Source organism: Homo sapiens, chromosome 12, assembly GCF_000001405.40.
Source record: "Homo sapiens chromosome 12, GRCh38.p14 Primary Assembly".
Lineage (NCBI taxonomy): Eukaryota > Metazoa > Chordata > Mammalia > Primates > Hominidae > Homo > Homo sapiens.
This window is the reverse complement of record NC_000012.12, coordinates 3892048-3914037: the sequence shown is the minus strand read 5'-3', so window position 1 is coordinate 3914037 and position 21990 is coordinate 3892048. Positions and strand designations below refer to the sequence as shown.

Here is a 21990-nt window from a genome sequence, read left to right as displayed (position 1 = left end):
TAAGTCTCTTCAGCATTTAAGGACATATTACAGAACATGCCGAGGAAACCAGTGATTTCTGAGAACCTGAACATCAAATTCCTAGAGACCATCTCAGACCTCACCTTTTCTGTTGAGAGAAATTCGCCTAGAAACCCATGATAAGCTCTATGAGACCACAGACTCTCTTCCTTTGTCACTGCTGGCACAGAGAATGCACTAAAAAAAAATGGTTGATTATTGGCATATGGTAAGGAGGAGAAAGGGAGGGGAGAAGAGTAGGGGATATTCTGGATTTTATAAGGGTATTTAATGAGTTTCTCTTTTAATTAACAGTGTGTTTATAGAGTGGGAGTAATATTGTGAGGAAGCTTTTATAGCACAAGGACAGCAGTCTGCAATGGCCGTGTCCCTCAGACCTTTCTACAGAAGGCCTCCTACATCTGGACATGACTCTGTTCTCCCCCAGTCCTTAGTAAGGATCACCCCTGAGATAGCATGAGACAGACGCCCGAGCCTCCTGCTGTCATGAAAAACTCCCATCTGAATGACAGCAAACGAGAGTCCAGACCTCCTGCTGTCATGAAAAACTCCCACCTGAATGCCAGCAAACCAGAGTCCTGATCTCCTGCTGTCATGAAAAACTCCCACCTGAATGTCAGCAAACCAGAGTCCTGAGGAGAGATGATTCACATTGGGCCCAAAAGAAGATTAATTGAAATGATTGATGTTTCTGTTCTTTTTCGGTTTCTCTTTGTGAGAATCTCATAGTCAGGCCTAAAATGATGACAAATGTGCACATTCCAGACTAAAAGATGTGTTTTGTTTTGTTTTGTTTTGTTTGGAGATAGGGCCTTGCTCTGTTGCCCAGGCTGGAGGGCAGTGGCACGATCACGGCTCACTGCAGCTCCAAACTCCTGGGCTCAAAAGATCTTCCCACTTCAGCCTCTGAGTATCTGGGGCTACAAGTGCAGACCACCACAACTGGCTAAGTTTTTGTTTTTTGCTATTTTTTAGAGATGGGGGTCTTGCTATGTTGCCCTGTCTGGTCTTGAATTCCTGGTTTCAAGAGATCCTCCTACCTCAGCCTTCTGAGTGGCTGGGATTACAGGCACGAGCTTGTAAAATGTGTTTTAAAAGGTTAAGTCTTCTTCTACCCAAAGCCCCCTTAAGCATTAAGTAGTACTAGAGTAGTTTTGTGAAAATCAGCAAAGGGTACTCTTTCCTTCAGGGGGACACAGTTCTGTGTCAGGGTGTGCGGCTTGGTGAGTAGAGTGCATACTGACCACCTCACTCACTTCCTAGGCTTCAAGTCCTGTGTAGAGAACAATCTACACCAGGGATGTCCAATCTTTTGGCTTCCCTGGGTCACAGAAGAAGAATTGTCTTGGGCCACACATAAAATACACTAATGATAGCTGATCGATAGCTGATGGGCCACATTCAAAGCTGTCCTGGGTTGCATGTGGCCTGTGGGCTGTGGGTTGAACAAGCTTGATTTACACAATTGTAGATAACAGTCCTTTTGTCCGGGGGTCTGGCATTTCACCATTTGGATCTCATTCCATATGATTGGATGGAAATATAATATTATTCCCTATTTCACCAAGTGCAAGCACTCCTGGTTATTGAGTACACATCCAGCTCCCACCAGGCATCAGCACATTGCTCTTTACCACATGACAGCTATCAGACATCAAGCAAAGAGGGAGACAGATGGAGGGGAGGCCTGGCAGAGTGGTGGCATGGCCCCACGAGGGCAGGCTGGCAGGTTTAGCTAGAGGGTGACAGGATGACACAGGGCAGATAAGGATGCTCAAAGTAGAGGGGAAGAGTAAACCTCACTTATTTGCCAGTTCTCCTCAGATCCAGCCTTAGGTATGGGGAAGGAAGCCCAGGCATCCAGCCTTCAGAGCATTAGGTTCACGGTGCCCATCCAATAAAGCACCTGACCTCTCAGGGGTATTTTTGCCTAACTGTCATGTTTCCTCCCCTGCCTGGGCCCTCAAGCTTCTGCACATGGGGTTTCTGGAACTCCCAGCCTGGTAGCAGGTGTCAAAGGGGAAGAGAGACGGAAAGGAGCAGAGGAAATATAAGAACAATGGCTGAAGACCAATAACCCAAATACTACTGAAAGGGTGCTCAGCTGGGAGCCTAACTTTGAAAATATTGCTGTGTTAGTCCATCTTCATAGTGCTATGAAGACCTACCTGAGACTGGGTAATTTATAAAGAAAAAGAAGTTAGTGGACTCACAGTTCCACATGGCTGGGGAGGCCTTACAATCCTGGCAGAAGGTGAAGGAGGAGCAAAGGCATGTCTTACATGGCAGCAGGCAAGAGAGCATGTGCAGGGGAACTGCCCCTTATAAGACCATCAGATCTTGTGAGACTTATTCACTTTCGCAAGAACAGCATGGGAAAAACCCACCCCCATGATTCAATTACCTCTTACTAGGTCCTTCCCATGACACATAGGGATTGTGGGAACTAAACTGCAATTCAAGATAAGATTTGAGTGGGGACACAGCCAAACCAAATCAGTTGTCTTCTTAAACTTGAGAGAACTATAATGTGTGAAAGTTGTGTGGGCTCCAGGTCAAAAGTTAAGCCACAATCCTGACTGGAGACATGGTATGGATTTAACCTGTGGTGGGAAGGGGGATACACCATATGTGGACTGGAGTGGTCATTTTGTTGTTGGGGTTATTTGTACGGTGGCCCTAGTATAGATGTCAAGGACACCCTCCACCCTGTGCTGACTCCCACCTAGTAGAACAGGGTCAAGGAAGGGGAAAGGATAAGGGATTTACTACTTGATAATATCTGAAAATGGACGTTCAGTGGTTTGTTCATAAGACATTTTCTGCTGCTGTCAAAAATATCTTAGTTATATTCTTTTTGCATTCTGCATATCAAATTGTCCTTGAGATCAAAATGGTCCTGACAAGATGGAAAGATGAGCATCCTGTACCTCTGATGATGGCCTCTCTTTCTGTTCCCGCAGCAAGACATAAGGGACTGGGACCTGCACATCTTTACTCTCCCACTCTTAAGCTTTGCCCTCACAAATTCTGCCCACCCTTGCGTCAACATCATTATCTTAGGATTTACTTATTATATACGTACACTAATTTTAAATACTTAATATATTTTAGCTCTGTGTTTAACATTTCTTGTCACCAGTGTGCATAAGCTATGCCCATAGATGCCTCAACAGGCCCCAGGCCCCAGGCAAAGGTCTTTTTTTTTTTTTTTTTTTTTTTACACGGAGTCTCACTCTGTTGCCCAGGCTGGAGTACAGTGGTGCAGTCTCGGCTCACTGCAAGCTCTGCCTCCCGGGTTCATGCCATTCTCCTGCCTCAGCCTCCCGAGTAGCTGGGACTACAGGCACCCGCCACCACGCCCGGCTAATTTTTTGTATTTTTAGTAGAGATGGGGTTTCACCATGTTAGCCAGGATGGTCTCAATCTCCTGACCTTGTGATCTGCCCGCCTCGGCCTCCCAAAGTGCTGGGATTACAGGCGTGAGACACTGCGCCCGGCCTTTTTTTTTTTTTTTTTTAACTTGAACAAGCTAAAAGAGTTAGATCAGCAGGAAAAAAACATTGAAGAAATGATAGTAACAGAGATACCAAAATAAACTAGACAAAGAGAAAGTTAAAAAAGACAAAAAGCCTGGTGAGGAAGAGTTTAGTTATTATTTTCCAGGAAGGCAATGAAAGGCACAGACTGCATATCCAAAACCCAGTGGACTGTATAAGACAATATCCTCCAGGGCCCAGTGAAGCGTAATAGCTCCGAGACAGCTACTGATAATTCAAATGACAAAAGCCATAGCATGAAATACAGGCCTTGGGCAGCAGCATCTAAAAATAGGAGGTCCTCAGGCATCTCGGGCAAGATGGCCACACTTCTGTTGGCGGTGGTCACTCCCCATCTACATTCCCATAACATGGGCACATGCGGGTACTACACCCACACTGCTACCTTGTGGAGTTCTGTTTCTTCCCCTGGGGCACTGGTTCTTACAAGGGGACATAGATTGCTCAGCAACTCTGTTACTAGCACTGTCCTCATTAATATTTGCATCTCTGGATGTATGCTGCTCCACGTAGGAACCACTGCACACGTGGCTGTCGAGCACTTGATAGGTGGTGAGTCCAAGTTAAGCTGCGCTGTGAGTGAAAAACACACAACAGATTTTGAAGATGCAGTATTAAAAAAATAAAACATCTCATTCATTTTTGTATTGATTACATGTCGAAATGATACAAATATTTAATTTCGCCCATTTCTCTTTAATGGCTTTCATGTGTCCACTAGAAACTTTAAAGTTACATAGGTGGCTGGCATCTATTTCTATTGAACAAAGGTGGTCTAGAATTTGGTACAGTACCTAGCTCATCGTAGATGCTCATAGTGTGACTGGAAATGAAATGAAATGCAATGTACCACAATTAGTGTCTAGGAGTTGTCATTGATAACATTTTCTTCAGATAATATTTCTTTTTTTTTTTTTTTTTTTTTTTTTTTGAGACGGAGTCTCGCCCTGTTGCCCAGGCTGGAGTGCAGTGGCGCGATCTCGGCTCACTGCAAGCTCAGCCTCCCGGGTTCACGCCATTCCCCGGGTTCACGCCATTCCCCGGCCTCAGCCTCCGAGTAGCTGGGACTACAGCCACCTGCCACCACGCCCGGCTAATTTTTTTTTTTTTTTTTTTTTTTTTTTTTGTATTTTTAGTAGAGACGGGGTTTCACCGTGTTAGCCAGGACGGTCTCAATCTCCTGACCTCGTGATCCGCCTGCCTTGGCCTCCCAAAGTGCTGGGATTACAGGCGTGAGCCACCGCGCCCGGCCTTCTTCAGGTAATATTTCCTTCTCTTAGTGGCGATTTTTTTGTTCTCCCTTTCAAACATTCGTAGTTGCTTAACATAAAAGATCAAGATAGTAAACCAAAGGGCACTTCCAGATACTATTTCTGTAAATAAAAAATCTCTGTGTCCCTCTGTGTTATCCCCTTCTCCAGGATGTAGCAGTCTCTTGAGCACAGTGAGATGGCTCACCATACGGGGAGAAGCGGCAAGCTATCAACTTTGGATCTTTTCTGGAGACACTGAAATTGGTTCCAAATTCTAAATTGTCTAAACTCTAAATTCTTTTCGAGGTCATACAATGGATTCAAAGTCTATATCCATAAGAAATACTGCATCAATCAGAGCACATAACTAAAAATTATGTGTTAAATGTGGTTAAATTAAATAAAGCTTTGAGCTTGAATTAGGAATGTGGGGGAAAATGGAGATTTGGAGAAGAATTTCAGGCTTTTGTTTGCTGAATCACTAGGGAGAAGCAACGTCACATACGTTACATTTCAGGTTTTCAGAAAACTGTGACGACTATTGGAATCAGAGAGCAAAGTTGGAAGTTAAACACAGTGATAACTTCATATTCATTTTCTAGTTCTCTTACCCACATTTTCCACATATAACTTTTATCCAACACATTCCCTGTGTGGGAGAGAGTGAGCCCCATCACGTTGATCCCTGGACCAGGTGGGACTGGGCTAGTGGGGAAGGAGATGGGGGAAGGGGTCTGGGGAGGAGTGGGTGTAGACAGGCGCCAGGAGAAGACTGTGGTTTTAGGGTATTTGTTTGTTTGTTTAATTAGTTGTTAGACTGGATTTAGTTTCTCTCCCCAGAAAAGATACAGATTTGAGATGAATTTTAGATGTTTTTAGAACAGAAATTCTACTCAGTTGAATTTCTGTTTTTGCCATAGCCATGCAATCGAGCTGGAGGAAATGAAAGCACAAGTAACTCCCACCAGAATGAAAACCTTTTTGTTTCTTCCATGTCACAGAGCCTTCATTCTGTTTCTGAGGAAGAAATAGTATCCTGAAGGATTCCAGAAAAGTTGGACAATTAGACAAATATTTTTGCTCACACAGCATGCCATTTGGTACCAAAATTACATCCTCTTTGTAAAAAAAGGAACAAAAAACGTAACCCTTCTCCTGAGATAGAATTATAATTGATAGAAAGATAGAACTGAGTTGTTATAACTGTAAAGCATTTACACATATTAGAGCTTTTTCCATCGTATTTTTACTTTGCTCGAAAGATAACGGGCCGGGTGTGGTGGCTCATGCCTGTAATCCCAGCACTTTGGGAGGCCGAGGCAGGTGGATCACGAGGTCAGGAGTTCGAGACCATCCTGCCTAACACAGTGAAACCCCGTCTCTACTAAAAATACAAAAAAATTAGCCGGGCGTGGTGGCGGGCTCCTGTAGTCCCAGCTACTCGGGAGGCTGAGGCAGGAGAATGGTGTGAACCCGGGAGACGGAGCTTGCAGTGAGCCAAGATTGCGCCACTGCACTCCAGCCTGGGCGAAAGAGCAAGACTCCCGTCTCAAAAAAAAAAAAAAAAGAAAGATAACAACTCGTGCTAACATCCTCCTCCACTCTTTTTTGAAGAATGCCATGAAATTGAGGAAGGAAATGAGACTGTCTCATGTTGCCTTAAGAGTTGTAAAAACCACACTTTTACAAAAGGTGTATTGGAGTATGTCAATTGTCTTCTGCACAGAGTTAGCTTAATGGTAGTTATATAAGGCAAACTTCAGGATAAAAATTTGTCCGCTGCCTTCTCTTTATTTCTAAGTGCAGTGGATAAATATAGCACATTCATGTTGCCCAAAGCAGACACTTAGATAAACAGCAATTGTTATGGACATAACAATATGGCAATAAACCACATGTACTATATGCTTACTTTATCTTGCACATCATATGAATCATTCATTCATTTACTCAGTACGTGTGTACTGAGTGCATACTTTGTGCCAGGCCCTTTGCTAACTTCCAAGAATATGAATATGGAAAAGACAGTGTCTGTCTTCAGGAAGCTCTCAGCCTACCTGGAGGAGATTATAAGTACTAAAATTCACAATTCGATGACATTAAGTAGTATATAGAAATAGAATATAGAGGAATACAGAGAGCACTACATAAAGGTATGTAACAATACCAGCTGCACAGAGAAGGAAGAAGTAACTTAATCTGTGGGATCTGGAGCCAACTTCCCAGTTGAAATGAGTTTTCATGAAGGTCTTGAAGATGAAAGGTGTGGCAGGAGGGCTGTTCTGGATATGAACGTGCCCCAAAGAATAAAAGCACGTGCTGTGTTCAGGAAACAGGAGGCAATTTGATGTGAGTGAAGTGCGGGGTGCCTAGCAGTGGGAGTGGGAAGCGGATCTGAATTGTGAAAGATCTTGCATGCCAGCTTAAGCTTATATTTAATTTTTAGATAAAATTATATGAAATGGACCTCCGGTCAAACGGGCTCCCCTTAATTTCACACTTCTTCACATTCCCTGTGTTCTAAGTAAAAGACCATGAAAGACAAAGTATAGACAAGGAAAAAACAAACCTAATAAAATATACCCAAACATGGCCGGGCGCGGTGGTTCACGCCTATAGTCCCAGCACTTTGGGAGGCCAAGGTGGGTGGATCATGAAGTCAGGAGTTCAAGACCAGCCTGACCAGTATGGTGAAACCCTGTCTCTACTAAAAATACAAAACTTAGCAGGGCGCAGTGGCTCACGCCTGCAGTCCCAGCACTTTGGGAGGCCGAGGCGGGGGGATCATGAGGTCAGGAGATCGAGACCATCCTGGCTAACACGGTGAAACCCCGTCTCTACTAAAAATACAAAAATTAGCTGGACGTGGTGGCGGGTGCCTGTAGTCTCAGCTACTCGGGAGTCTGAGGCAGAAGAATCACGTGAACCTGGGCAGCAGAGGTTGCAGTGAGCCGAGATCGCGCCACTGCCCTCAAGCCTGGGTGACAGAGTGATACTCTGTCTAAAATAATAATAATAATAATAATAAAAATACCCAAACTTGAAACCAAGAAGAAAGCATCTTTATGGATGACTGCAAGCATGAGGGGGGTAAAGCCGTGGGCTTGCAGGGCTCTGGACCCCAAACCAGGCAGCGATGGGAAGGAGTGTGGCTTGGATAGGATAATAGAAACTAAGTGTCTACTCAAGAAACGATAGAACCAGGCTAACTGCTGAAAGCCAGGCGTTCTCAGAAGCTGTGGAACTACAGCGATCCAAGACCCGGCCTTCTAAACAGGAACTGATTAGAAATTTAAAGCTGATATGAAGCCAGCTGATTCAAAGCCAGCTCTGTGACTGGCTCTGTAATATTCTCAATATCACTGTGGGCCAGGAGCCCCAGAAAACTATCTTGAGACTCAGCTGTGGACCAAGAGTACAGCGTGCTGGGTGAAAGCATCTGCAAAACTTCTCAACTGGGTACAAGAAAAAGCAGAACAAGTGAAACAAAACAAAATGCCTTCCATTCAAAATAAGCCTGCAGACTTTCCAAAATATATGTAGAAAATAAGCGCTAAGAAAAACAGTCAAGAAAGTCAATAGTTCACTCCAGTTGAGAATAATTTTATGAAACAGTATGTCAAGGACTTAAACGGTAAATTGAACAGTAAGACTTGAACAGTAACACTTAAGGTGACTAAAGACGTGGAAAAGGAATTAGATGCCTTAAAAGTGAACAAATATTGGGAAACAAAACAGGGAGAAATGGAACAACACAGTATATCAATTACCTTCGGCTGCATCACAAACCACCCCCACAACTTAGTCACTTAAAAAACCAACCTGCATTATTTCTTATGATTCTGTGAGTTTTCTGGACAGTTCTTCTGATGCAAGCTGGCTTGGCTGGAGCTCAGTGGTCTAGGATGGCCACACTTGCACGTCTGGGGACTTAGCTCAGATCATTCAGACAGCTAGGGTCTTTCTTTTTGTGATTCTTTAGGAGGCTAACCTAGGCTTGCTTCCGTGTGATAGCAGGGTTTCCTGCAGCCAAAAAAGGGCAAACTCCAATGCACAAGAACTTCTCAAGCCTCTGTTGAATTATATATTTGCCAATGGCCACTGCTCAAAACAAGTCACATAGACAAGACCAGATTTGAGGCTGCAGAGGTATACCCCACTTATTGATAGTCAGAGTGTCAAAGTCACATTGCAAAGGGGCATATATGAAGGGATGGGGCAAATTTGGGGCAAACCACCACATGTAGACAGGGAAAGCAATCAACTGAAAATTTTTGAACTTAAAAATATATTCTGGAAATAAGAAAGCCAATATTTACGATAATCTCTAGACTAGGCACAGTTTAAGAGATAATTGGTAAATTGAGAGTACTGACAAATTTACCCAGATCTAGTACAAAGAGACAAAGAAATATAAAATTCAAAAGAGCAGAATAGTTATGAGCCCTGCAGGACAGACTGAGAGACTCCAACACATCTCTAATTTGAGTACCAGAGAAAGGAAAAGAGACTGGAAGAAATGAGAGAAGTCATTATTTGAAAAGATTGTAGCTTAGAATTTTCCAGAGTTAGAGAAAAATATGAGAACTCAGATCAAAAGTGCACTTTGATGCAGGTCCACATCACAATGAAACTGCAGAGCATCATTAATAAAAGGAAAAGCTGCCAGTGGGGAAAAATAGATTACTTAAAAAAGATTAACACTTAGACTGAAGTTACATCTTACATTTTTCTATGAAAAATTTAAGGTGTAATAGAATAGAAACCAAGAAGGTAATTGAACCCGAGAAGATAATGAAGCCATACCTACAAACTGCTGAGGGAAATTTCTATCTAGCTAATTCTCATTCAGCAATGAGGGATGGGCCAGGTGCTGTGGCTCTCACCTGTAATCCTAGCACTTTGGGAGGCCGAGGCGGGTGGATCACGAGGTCAGGAGTTCAAGACCAGCCTGGTCAAGATGGTGAAACCCCATTTCTACTAAAAATACAAAAATTAGGCAGGCTTGGTGGCGGGCACCTGTAATCCCAGCTACTTGGGAGGCTGAGGCAGAGAATTGCCTAAAGCCAGGAGGCGGAGGCTGCAGTGAGCTGAGATTGTGCCACTGCACTCCAGCCTGCGTGACAGAGCCAGACTCCATAAAAAAAAAAAAAAGGAATGAGGTGTGAAGTTAAAATTAAAGAAAATAGTAATAAAACAGAGGAGGGAAGACTTTAACAGATACAGAATATGTATGACCACCAAGAAGAGAATAACATTACCAAAAAAGTTTAGATTTGTTCATACAAATAAGTGTATAACTGTTAAATATTTAAAGATAGGGATAATCTTTTTTTTTTTTTTTTTGAGGTGGAGTCTCGCTCTGTCACCCAGGCTGGAGTGCAGTAGTGCAATCTCAGCTCACTGCAAGCTCCACCTCCCGGGTTCACACCATTCTCCTGCCTCAGCCTCCCGAGTAGCTGGGACTACAGGTGCCCACCACAACGCCCGGCCAATTTTTTGTATTTTTAGTAGAGACGGGGTTTCACCGTGGTCTCGATCTCCTGACCTCATGATCTGCCCGCCTTGGCCTCCCAAAGTGCTGGGATTATAGGCGTGAGCCACCGCGCCCGGCCCTAATATAGGGATAATCATTTAATGAGTAGAAGTGCACAATATAGATTTCAATCCAGGCAGAGAAAAACGTAATTATAAAAACTTTATCACTCCAAAAGCGCAGAGGAAAACAGGGAGAAAAAAGTAGCAAAGAAAAACATAATAAACAGAAAAAATAAAAGAAGATAATGTAGTCAGTCCTCCATATCCACAGCTTCCACATCTTTGGATTCAACCAACGTGAGATTAAACATTTTTTTTAGTTAAAAAGAAGAATACAGCAATAAAAATAACACAAATTTAAAACATACAGTATAGTAAATCTTTACATAGCATTTACATTGTATTAGGTATTATGAGTAATCTGGAGATGGTTTAAAGTATACAGGAGGATGTGCATGGATTACATGCAAACACTATGCCATTTTATATAAGGAACTTGAGCATCTGTGGATTCTGGCACCCACAGGGAGTCCTGGAACCAATCCCCTGTGGATACCAAGGAATGACTGTAATAACTCACAATACTTGCCAGTGGATTAAAGCCAACCACTAAAAGCAGAGATTATGAAAATGAATGAAAGAGAAAGACCCAACAATATGCAATTGAGAAGAAAGACACACAAAACAATATCAGTCTGAAGGTTTGAAATTGAAGGGTGAGAAAAAAAAGATCATGTAAATTCCAAATGAATGTTGAGCAGCAAGATTAATATATGACAAGATAAAATTTGTTGCAAAAAGAACAAATAGAGAAAAAGATAGATACTATACAATAATAAAATGAATCATTCTCCAAGATGATGTAGCAATCATGACCTTGCATGCACCTAACAACATAGTTTTAAGTTATATAAAAGGCCAAAACAGATCATTTTATACACATAGTAGATTTTTAATATTCTTCTAACAGCAAATGAGAAATCTAACAAAAAAAACTCTGTAAGAATATTCGAAGAAAATATCTATAAATTTATCTGTTTTATATAGAACTCTGTACCCAATAAAAATTATAAATTTTTCTTCTTAGAAAATTTACAAAATTGGCCATATTGTGAAGACTTTAGCAATTTTCAAAGAATTTATATTATGCATATTTGTATCAATATGCAATTAAATTAGACATCTGCAAGCAAAGAGGAGAGGTGTTTTTTTGTTTCTGTTTTTGTTTTGAGACAGTCTCACTCTGTCACCCAGGCAGGATTACAGTTCACTGCAATCTCTGCCTCCTGGGTTCAAGTGATTCTTGTGCCTCAGCCTCCCAAGTAGCTGGGATTACAGGCATGTGCCACAGTGCCTGGCTGAGAGTTTTTTTTTAAAGAAGTTAAAAAAAAATAAAAAAACTGCATGTTTGGAAATTTAAAAATATCTTTCTAGTTAACTTTTAGATTCAACAGGAAATAATAATGAAAAGTTGAAAATATTCTAAACGAAGTGAAAATAAAATAATCACAAAAAATGTGTGATGCAGTAAGGTAGTATTAAAAGATGTGATTAGAACCTAAAATTTATCTGTAAAATAAAAGAAAGATAAAAAGGAAATGAGTTTGCAGTCAATTCAAGAAGGGAGAAAATAAACAAACAAACCAGAAGGTGCCACAAAGGGTAGAAAAAAGGAAATAATAAAGGTAAAGTAAAAATCAATAAATTAAGAAAAAATTACAAAAAGTTCATATAGTTAAAATTTGAGTTTTTGAATGAAAGAAAAATTTCTAGTGAGGCAAATCAAGGAAAATGACACAAATAAATAAAATATTAAGAACAAAAAAGGGAACAGAAACAAAACACATTAGAATAGAGATTAAACAAACCATAAGAGAAAATGGAAAAATTTATGCAAATAAATTTGAAAATTCAGAATAAAAGATTAAGGTTTCTTTTGCAAGGATACAGGAAGAATAGATACTGGGATGAAATTAGCAATCTTGGCCACACCTTCTAGTCCTACTTTATTGAGTTTTTTAAAATCATAATTTGATAAATTATAAATTGAATGTGCTTTCTTTATCTTTCGAGGAAAGTGTATGTTTTCCCACCTGAAGGTGGGAAACGATTAGGATGGTGGAACAACATGGTAATAGGATTCTGGATCTCTGAGACTGCAGCACACTAATTGTGTCCTGAACTGAATACCTCTGGATATCTTGGGCATGAAAAATAAGTTTCCATCTTGTATAATCTACTGCTATTCAGTCTTTTTATGTTGCCTGCAACCAAGCCTAATCCTAACTGATACACAAACACTTTAACAGAGACTATTTATAAAAATATATTACAAAACCACTCATAATGTCAAAGTACTATGAATGGTGCCCCCTAGAGTTGTGCTATGGAAAGGTCCTGAAAGCTGAAACTTGATAATTATTCCTATCAGAGTCAGGAGGAAACAGCTGCTTACCATATCTACTCCTTTTCAATATTGTATCTGAAGTATAAGTTAATGTAATAAGGCAAGAAAAATACATAATATAAGAATTTAAAAGCAGAAAGAAAGCTGTTCTTATTTTCAGATGATATAATAGTCCGTAGGACACTTTATAAACTATTAGAATTAATGAGTGATCACTAAGCTGGATATAAGACCAACAAACAAATCAATAGCCTACTTAATCACCAGTAATAGACAATTAGAAATGTAATCTTCAAAAATGTCATATTTGCAAAAATGTGTAGGATGCCTGTGAAGAAAATAATAAAATTTTATTGAAGGAAATAGAACAAGACATGGTATATTAATTAAGGTGTTTTTACATGCAAGTAACATATATCCAACAGGAAGTGTCTTGAAGTAATATTTATTACTTCACATTACATGAAGCCCAGCATGGGCAGGTTCAGGGTTGCTTAATCCTGCAACTCAAGGATGTCATCAAACACTCAGGATCTTTCCATCTTTCTGCTGAAGCATCTCCAACAAGGCTTTTATCTCAGGTTTGTCCTCTCCCAGTTTCAGGATTGATGTCATAGTTAGAGTCTATGTGTAAAGACCTCTTCACATGACTCTATTCCAGAGGAAGTAAAAGAAGTATCTCTTTGCACATCTATTTTTTTGTTATCAAACTTTTCCCATAAACCTTTATCTCATGTCCCCCAGGATTGAGTCATGAGGCCATGCCTATGGAAGAATAGGAAAATCTCTCATATTTTCAGTCTCTAATATGGGAAGCATTCTCTGTAGATAAGAAAGGAAGTGGAGTGGGCTAGTACTGATGAGTAGGCAACCAAGAGGTCCTGCCACATCCAAATAAATGGATGGGACGACTCAATATCATTAGGTTGTCAGCTGTCCTTCAATTTTAATATATTAATCAAGTGTAATTACAATCAAAATCAAAATACTTTTTTTATGGAACTGGAAATGCTCATATTAAAATTAATGTAACAGAACAAAGGTTCAAAAACAATTTTGGAGGAAAAGAAGTGGAGGCAGCTGTCCGACTAGAGAGCAAAACATTTTATAAAGCCATGATAATTAGATGGCATGACTGTGGCACAGAAGCCACAAACTAACAGAAGACGAAAGAGAGTCCAGACACAAGCCCATACATATATGGAAATCTGAGATATGAGAGATGGCATGTTTTCACTTTTGAGATTGTGGTTCCACAAACAACAACAAAATTCATGGCTTCTTTGATGAAAATGAAAGTCTCACGCACCCTCAAAATAATGTGCTCTCCTAAAAGTGTCGAGAATTATAGTATTGCCTATATATAGCTCTGGTAAGCAAAACAAACGTATTCATGAACAAATTGCTTTGATTTTTCTTTTCAAATAATTATTGTATTGCTTCTATATGCTATAAGTCGTACTTCACTTCCTCCCAAGATTCTGAAATGTGCACCACTCTTGGATCCGCAGTCCCTCCCAAATGGGTTGGCATCTCTGTGCCAAGCAACAAGAAGCCTAAGAGGAACTCAAAACAGGGGGCTGGCATGATCGGATGTGCATTTTAGAAAGATCACTGGGCGGTGGGAGGATGGGATACAAAAGAAAAATAACATGCCCTTAAACCCTTGTCCTAAAGTGTTTAAATTGTAGCCGAAGAGACACCAAATACAGAGTGTAAAGGACAAAGAACCTTCACAGCCCATCAAAGAGTGCACTAGGAACTCACACAGAGAACAGCAGCATTGCATCCTGGGAAGTGGCAAGGAACTAGAGGTGGATGGCTGGGTTTTGTCACTCCAGCACTTTGGGCCTCAATTTTCTCAACTTTAATAGTGGGATGATGTCAATATCTACTTCCCAAAGCTGTTACAAGAATTAAACTATAAGTTCTATCTGCAAAGTGCTTTGCTGACTGTAAAAAACTACCTAGATATGAGCCAAGGCCAAGTACACAGACGTGTGTTCTAGTTCTGAGCTACAGTGCTTACTCTAGCAGTGAGATTAATGTCATTGACTTCTTTGCTCCTTACCTGACTTGGATTTCTACATGTGAGCAAGGTCAAAGGAAGGCAGTTTGATAACTCAGAAAGAATCACCAAATCTTCTGATTGGAAGGCATCTTTGAGGTTATTATTTCAGTCTCCCACTCCATGTAGGAATCCTCTCTACAAGTTCCTGACCCAGGTGGTTGTCTTATCTCCGCTTGCACCTTGCTGTCATGGAGATGTTACTCCCTCACAAAGCAGCTCAGCCTGTCTGTGGACAGTGGGCATTGTTAGAAATAGAGCTGAAATCAGACTCCCTTCAGCCTCTGTCCACTTGTCTTAGTTCAGCCCTCTGGAACAACACAAAACTAATTCACTCCCTTTCTCATTTGACAGCTTTTCAAGGGTTTGAAGACAGCTATCAGAGTTGTCTATGTGTGCCCTTCTCTGGAATAAACGTTCCCGGTTTTCTGAACTGCCCCTCTCAGGTCGTGGTTTCTAAGATGCTTCACTAGTCCAGTTATCCTCCCTGGACTGATCACTGCTTTGTCAGTATCCCCTTTTAAAATCTAGTGCCACCTTCCTGCCACCACATCTAAGTGGAAACAGCCTAAATGTCCAAGAGCAAGTCAATTCAAACAAATTATGGCATATCTACACAATAGTATGTTGTATAACTATTAAAACTGGGTTTCAAAGAATATGTAAGTTGAGGAAATAATTCAGGACATAATGTTAGTTTTTTAATGTAGAATATAAACACTACCTAACCCACATTTTTAGTACTTCCATGTGCCTCATGGAACACAAGTCTCCAGAAGAGACTTGAAGGACATATACCAAAATGATAACAGTAGTGATCTCCAAATGATGAGAGCTAATTTTCGTTTTCTTCTTCATACATTTCTGTACTTCTAAGTTTTCTACTATGAATATATTTTGCTTTCGTGATTTACAAAATACAAAGACCACAAAGTTGAATGTGAAGAAGAAACATGGTACCAGGAATAAGCCCTCATGCTCTGAGGCAGATGGGCCAATGGCACCCTCATCACCCTTGCTCTGCCTGTTACAATTCCCCTTATGCTACCTGGCAAACACTAGTTGTTTTGTAGCCATGTCAGAATTTTTTGGCTCATGTTGGGCTTTTTGTTAACTACAATCTTCAAGACTTTTTCCCATTAACTATTGTCAATAATTTGAATAACTGAGTTTTTTTTTTTTTAATCAATATGAAGAACTTGCATTTTCTCCATTAAATTCCATCATGCTTATTTTGGCTCCTTGTTCAGGCAAACCACCATATCCTGTTTCTGTCATGCGGCATATTACTTAGACTTCTTCATTTTGTGTCAACTCATATTTATATGTTGGCATCTCTTTCATGTCATTGAAAGGATTTTCACAGAACCGGGCACCAAACAAGGACTAGCGGCATCTTGTGCTACACCTCTCTCTGAGTTGACTTGGCCCCGCCTGTCCAGTGCTTTTTGGATACAATGGTTTGCCTAGCTGTGCCTTCACCAAGCCATAGATCACCCAGGCCCTATCCATTCATTGTACCATAAAATGTGTTGTCGGAAGCCCTGTTGAAAGATTCACTACCTCTGGGACAATCTTGAGAGTTTTGGTAATCTTTCAAAAAAGAAAAAAATGTGAAGTGATGTTAGTATGACATGGTTTGTTCTACATAACCTGTGCTGGCTTCTTGAGATTACCACTTCCTTTTCAAAGCGATTGTAATCTAACTCCTTAATAATGCAGCTTACAGTTTGCTGGGGATCAAAGTTAAACTCAACAGTGCAAAGTTCCCCAAACCTACATATTTCCCCTTTTGACAACTCGGACAGTTGCCCATCACTAATCTTCTGGCATCACTCCTGAGATTCCTGAAAGATTACTGACAATCATTCTATGATTAAATCTACAAATTCTTTCAGTCCCCAGGGATGGAATTTGTCAGGGCCTGGAGATCTAAGCTTATTTAGAGAGCCCAGGTATTCATTTTCTAAAGAGCTTCATAACTAGGGCTGCAATTGCTTCTTTGCAGTGTTTATATTGTTCTTTCCAGTTTGAAGATCATTCTGAGAGATAGAGATGATGGAAGCTAAGTAGGAGTTGCATAATTCTGCTTTGTATCTGTCATCTGCTAGCATTACACCATCTGCCCCAAGCACAGGATCTGGCCCTTCCCTATTCTTCCTGCTCAGAATATACTTGCACAAAGCTCTTTTTGCTGTTCCTGAGCATTTTTTGCAAGTCTCAGCTCATTCTGAGCCCCAGCCTTGCTAACACTATGGCTACAAGCCTGTGACACTCTTTGCTTTTCTTCTCCGGTGATGTGCCCTGCTTAGTGCTTTTGTAAAGGCTCTTTGAAAACCTGAGAGTGCTGGAGGGCTTCCCCTGCTGGCTCGGGGTCTTCCCTTTGCTTCCTAGTCAGGATCACTGGAGACTGTATTGCCAGAATTTAATTTTGGAAAGAATGTTGCTTTAATGCTTCTTCTGTCCTCTCATTCTTTGAAAACAAAACAACAAAACAAAACAAAATAGTACAACAACAACAACCACCACAAAAATCACAGCTGCAAATGAGGTCTGATTAGAAACCAGTACAGTGTATTTAGGCTCATCATGGTAAAAAAAAATCTGACAAATGATAAAAAGCGTTGCTTAGTTTGCTTTAAATAAGAATGTGGAGGAACTGTTTTTTCTAGTTCATTGTGCAATGAGAAAAAAGGGAGGGAGCAGAGATCCAAAAAACAAGGACAATTAATATTGAGTAGCAACTACGTTCTTTCATTTAATCTTCATGTCAGTCCTGGAAGCACTGTCCTGATTTAGAGATGGAGAAAAATGAAGCTTAAGTTAAGTGACTTAGAGTAACTTTGTAAACCAGTGGGTAGAACCAAGGGTCAAACTCAGGCAGTGTGATTGGACTGCTCATGTGCTTTTTCCTACATTACGGGTATAGGTAAGCAGCTCACAAAACCATTCCACCCAAAGATGTGTTTTTTGGACCCTATGGCATTTAAAAAAATGTTTAGATTTATTGCCGACATTTATAACTTAGGAGATTTTACGTTCACTTCTAGAATCCTAGCTACTTTTGAGAACCTCTGGCCCTACATTTCCCCCATGGAAACCATTGGCCAAGTGGAGTAGTGGCGATCTGCCCTCTCCAGGTTGCCCCAATCCCCACCTTCCCCCTCATTTATATTCCCCGCTTGGTCCTGTTAGATGTTTGAGTTTGCACTGCCTTAGGCTATGCTGATACTCCATTGTTTTTCCTGGTTTCTGAGAGAAAGCCTTCTGCCATATGGAAAAGAAGGGAGCAAAGGTTATGAAAATCAAAGATATGTCTCTTGCACTCAATTCGGCCTTATTATTCCCCTGGAAAGGGCCTCCCAGAATCTTAAGAGGTTCCGAAAAAGAGTGTGCTTGTTTCACTCAGCTTGTCCCAGGATCCTCCATTCCCAATAATGGACTCCCTTTTGCACTGTGTTTCTTAAACCACAGAGTCTAACAAGAACATCATTCAACTTTTTAAAGCCTGTATGTATGGGCAAGAGAGCCTGTTCATATGACCTTCTAAATAGGACTCTTGGGCACGATCAGAATGTCTGGCTAAGCCTGCCTTCGTGGTTAGACACCACTAACAGACCATTGAAAATATGCACGTCGTAGATCATAGAGTGGACAGAACCTAGGCTGAGGATCAGGAAATCTGTTTTTTCATCTTGGTTCTGGTGTTAGAGGGATACCCAGTGCATAGAACATCACAGAAACACAGACCTCAAGGGGTAAGTCCAGAATGGGGGCTGGTAGTTAGAATGAAGACTATAGAGGGAATCTGAATATCATTTTGAAGGGAGAGATCCATCCATTCATTCAGTCACTCTGTGAATATGTATTTATTATGCACACACTACATGTCGGACACAGTTTAGGCAATGAGAATTCAGAATTGAACCAGACAGACAAAAATCCCTGCCATCATGGAACTTACATTTCAGTAAGGAGAGATAGACAAGTGAAAAAACCAAGTAAGTAAATATCTTTGGTCAACTGGTAATAAGACTGTGGGAAAAATCAAGCAGGGTAACTGATGGTTATGAAACTTTGAGGCTGGGAGAGGGGGGTATTTAAAGAAGGTAATCAAGGCCTCTTCACAGGGAAAGTGAAATTTCAATTCAGGCCTGAAGGAAGTAAGAAAGCAAGCCATGGGGATTTTTTGAAGAAAAGCATTCCAGGTGAAGGGAAGAACAAGTGCATAGACCCCGAGGTGGACTGTGCCCGGCATGTTTTAGGGCGAGCAGAGGCCAGGATGGCTGGAGCAGAGTATGCAAAAGAGACAGCCATTAGACATGGAGTCTGACAGGTGACAAGCGCCCATACTGTGGAGGGACTTGCAGGACATCGTGTTGAATACTGATTTTTGCTCTTATTATCCTGGGAGGCAGGGAAGTGACATGATCAAGCTTATAGTTGAACAGGATAACACTGAGAATTCTGTTGAGAATAGTATGTAGGCAGCTAGGGCAGAAGCGGGAGAGCAGTTAGGGGGCTGTCACATAGTGGCTGGGCTAGGGAGTAGCCTTGGAAACAGCAGAACATGGTTCTATTCTGCACATAATTTGAAGGTAAAGTGAACAGGATTTGCAGAGGCATCAAAAGAGAGAGAGCACATGTGAGAGGAAGCTCTAAGGGTTTAAGCTTGAGCAACCAGACCCATGGCCATTAACCGAGCTGGGAAAGGCTGTGGAAGGAGCAGGTTTGGCATCCAGACCAGGAGTTCTGTTTTTTGATACATTCGGATACCGATTAAACATTCAAATAGAGATTGTGAATAGGCAATTGGGCATGTGCATGTGTAATTATAAACATGGGCATCAAAACCATATTGATTATGTTTAAAACTCATAGACCGAATGAGATCACCAAAGAAGAGAGTAGAATTAGAAAAAAGAAGAGATCGGAGTACTGGGCTCTGGGCATTCTAACATTACAAGGTGGGGACCTGAGATGGAATCAGCAAGGAAACTGGAAAGGAGTATCCAGGAAAGCTGGAGGAAAACCTGGGGGGGAAGTCTTCTCAGAGGCCAAGTGAGGAAAATGTATTCCAGAAGAATGGAGAGATCAACTGTGCCATGTGTTACCTGAGGTGTCCAGGATGATGAGGACTTAGAAATGACCATAGGATGTCATGGTGAAGAGATGATTGGTGACCTTGATAAGAACAGTTTTGGCGCTGGTGGTTTGTGCATCGGAGAGAGAGTAGGAGGGCCTGGGTGCTGTGAAGTCCTAATTAGAATGACTCCAACAGAGGATGTGGGAGAAGAGAGGTCTGACATGGTGAGCAAGAACAACTATTTAGAGGAGTTTTGCTGTGTAGAGAAGGAGAGAAACGGGAGGAAGTGGGGTTAAGAGCGGTGTCCTGTGTGTGTGTGCGTGCGTGCATGTGTAAGATGGGAGCAGGTCTGAAGGCTCATGGGATTCATCCCGTATAGAGAGGAGAGCTGATGATTCAGAAGAGAGGGGAGAATGCTAGGATAGTGGTGGGATCTGGGGCGCACATGGACAGGGTGGTCTTTGTCAGGAAGAGAGCTACCTCATCCATGGTAATGGTATAAAAGCGAGACACAGAGTGACTGGTAAGTCGATTGACAGAAGCCGATAGCAATAGCTGGTCTCCTCAACAAGCCAAAAATGGGGTGTGGCAGGATAGAACTCAAAGGGCCAGGTCCAAAGGCTCATGGAGCTTTTGGTTGGTAAGGAGTGTATTTATCCCTCCTTGTAACTGAATCCGAAAGACATCAAGTGGAGGAATGCTTTAAACCATGAGACAGGGCCAGGTGCAGTGGCTCACACCTATAATCCCAGCATTCTGGGAGGCGGAGGTGGGAGGATAGCTTGAGCTTAGGAATTCGAGACCATCCTGGGCAACATCTTGAGACTCCATCTCTACAAAATATTAAAAAAATTAGCCAGGTATGGTGGCACATGCCTGTGGTACCAGCTACTTGGGAGGCTGAGATGGGAGGATCGCCTGACCCTGGGAGATCCAAACTGTAGTGAGCTATGATTGAGCCACTGTACTCCAGCCTGGGGGCAGAGTAAGACCTTGTCTCAAAAATAAATAAATAAATAAATAAATAAATAAACAAACCATGAGACAGAGTACACCTGAGAGTCACAGTTAGGAGCAAAGACTGGGAGTTGCCATCAGGGCTGAAGGCTAAAATCATGAGACTGGATGAGCCTATTGAGAATGAGGAGAGCGCAGGCCAAGGAGTGAGACTTGCAGGACACCGACACTCAGGGACTTAGGGAGCAGTGAGAGAGAGAAAGAGAGAGAGAGAGAGAGAGAGAGAGAGGGAGAGAGAGAGAGAGAGTGAGAGAGAGTGAGAGTATGTGTCAGGGTGGAGCAGGAAGCAGCAAAGGCAGAAATAGGGCATTGCTTTGCTAGTTCATAGCCTACTTTCTTCCCTAAAGAAGGGAATACAACTGAGCATGCAAGAGAGGACCAGATGTAGACAATTTCCTGAAGGAAGGAGACATCAGCTGGGCCACCTGCTTCAGGGAGGCCTGGGAAGAGGGGAGGCTTGGAAATATCACCAGATTTGGGAAGAAGGTCACTGGCTATTGAGGGAGCAGGTACAGAAGAGGAGTTTGGGCAGATGCCCAATTGCAGGGGCTTAAGATGTGATTAAAGGAAATGGAGACAGGAGGAGGGTGTGAGGCCATACCCATTGAAATAGTGCTCCTATGGAATGAAAGAAAAACATACGGAGGCTCTAAGGACCAAGCACACAATCTTACGGGAGTTCTAGCATGACATCAGAAGGACTCATGGAGTGGACGAGATCACGGAGAGAAAGGGCCAAGAGACTCTGGAGGTGATGGTGCACCCACGTGGTTCTCAAGATTGTCTGTCTAGGTTTTCCTTGTAGCTCAGCTGGAAGCTTCACATGGCAGGTGGAAGGACATTTCCAGACCCTTCATTACTGCCATAGCTTTTGGAAAGATTGAATACAACAAGGGACAGGGAAGTGTGATGTATTGTGTCCTAAAAACCCCTCAGAAAAGACAATTTGAAGCAGAACATATAAATGATATCTTGTGTTACTTTCCTCATTCCCTTTCTTATTTACTTTTCCCACATGCCTCTAAGTCTGGATGCAATTG

At 41.7% G+C, this 21990-nt stretch overlaps 1 long non-coding RNA gene across 3 annotated transcripts in view; it reads right to left on the bottom strand.

Annotated features, from left to right (window-relative positions):
* Nucleotides 1–3655: 3655 nt before the first annotated feature.
* The window catches only part of PARP11-AS1 (PARP11 antisense RNA 1), a 40211-nt gene continuing 21876 nt past the window's right edge, over nucleotides 3656–21990 (bottom strand). The window contains exons 1-2 of one of the 3 annotated variants that reach the window (NR_183433.1): nucleotides 14851–14987; nucleotides 3656–4154 (exon numbers count right to left, since the gene is read on the bottom strand). This is a non-coding gene — a long non-coding RNA (PARP11 antisense RNA 1). Of the gene's footprint in view, nucleotides 4155–8656; nucleotides 8873–14850; nucleotides 14988–21990 lie in introns of those variants that run through there. The other 2 variants (NR_183435.1, NR_183432.1) reach the window with 2 other exon arrangements.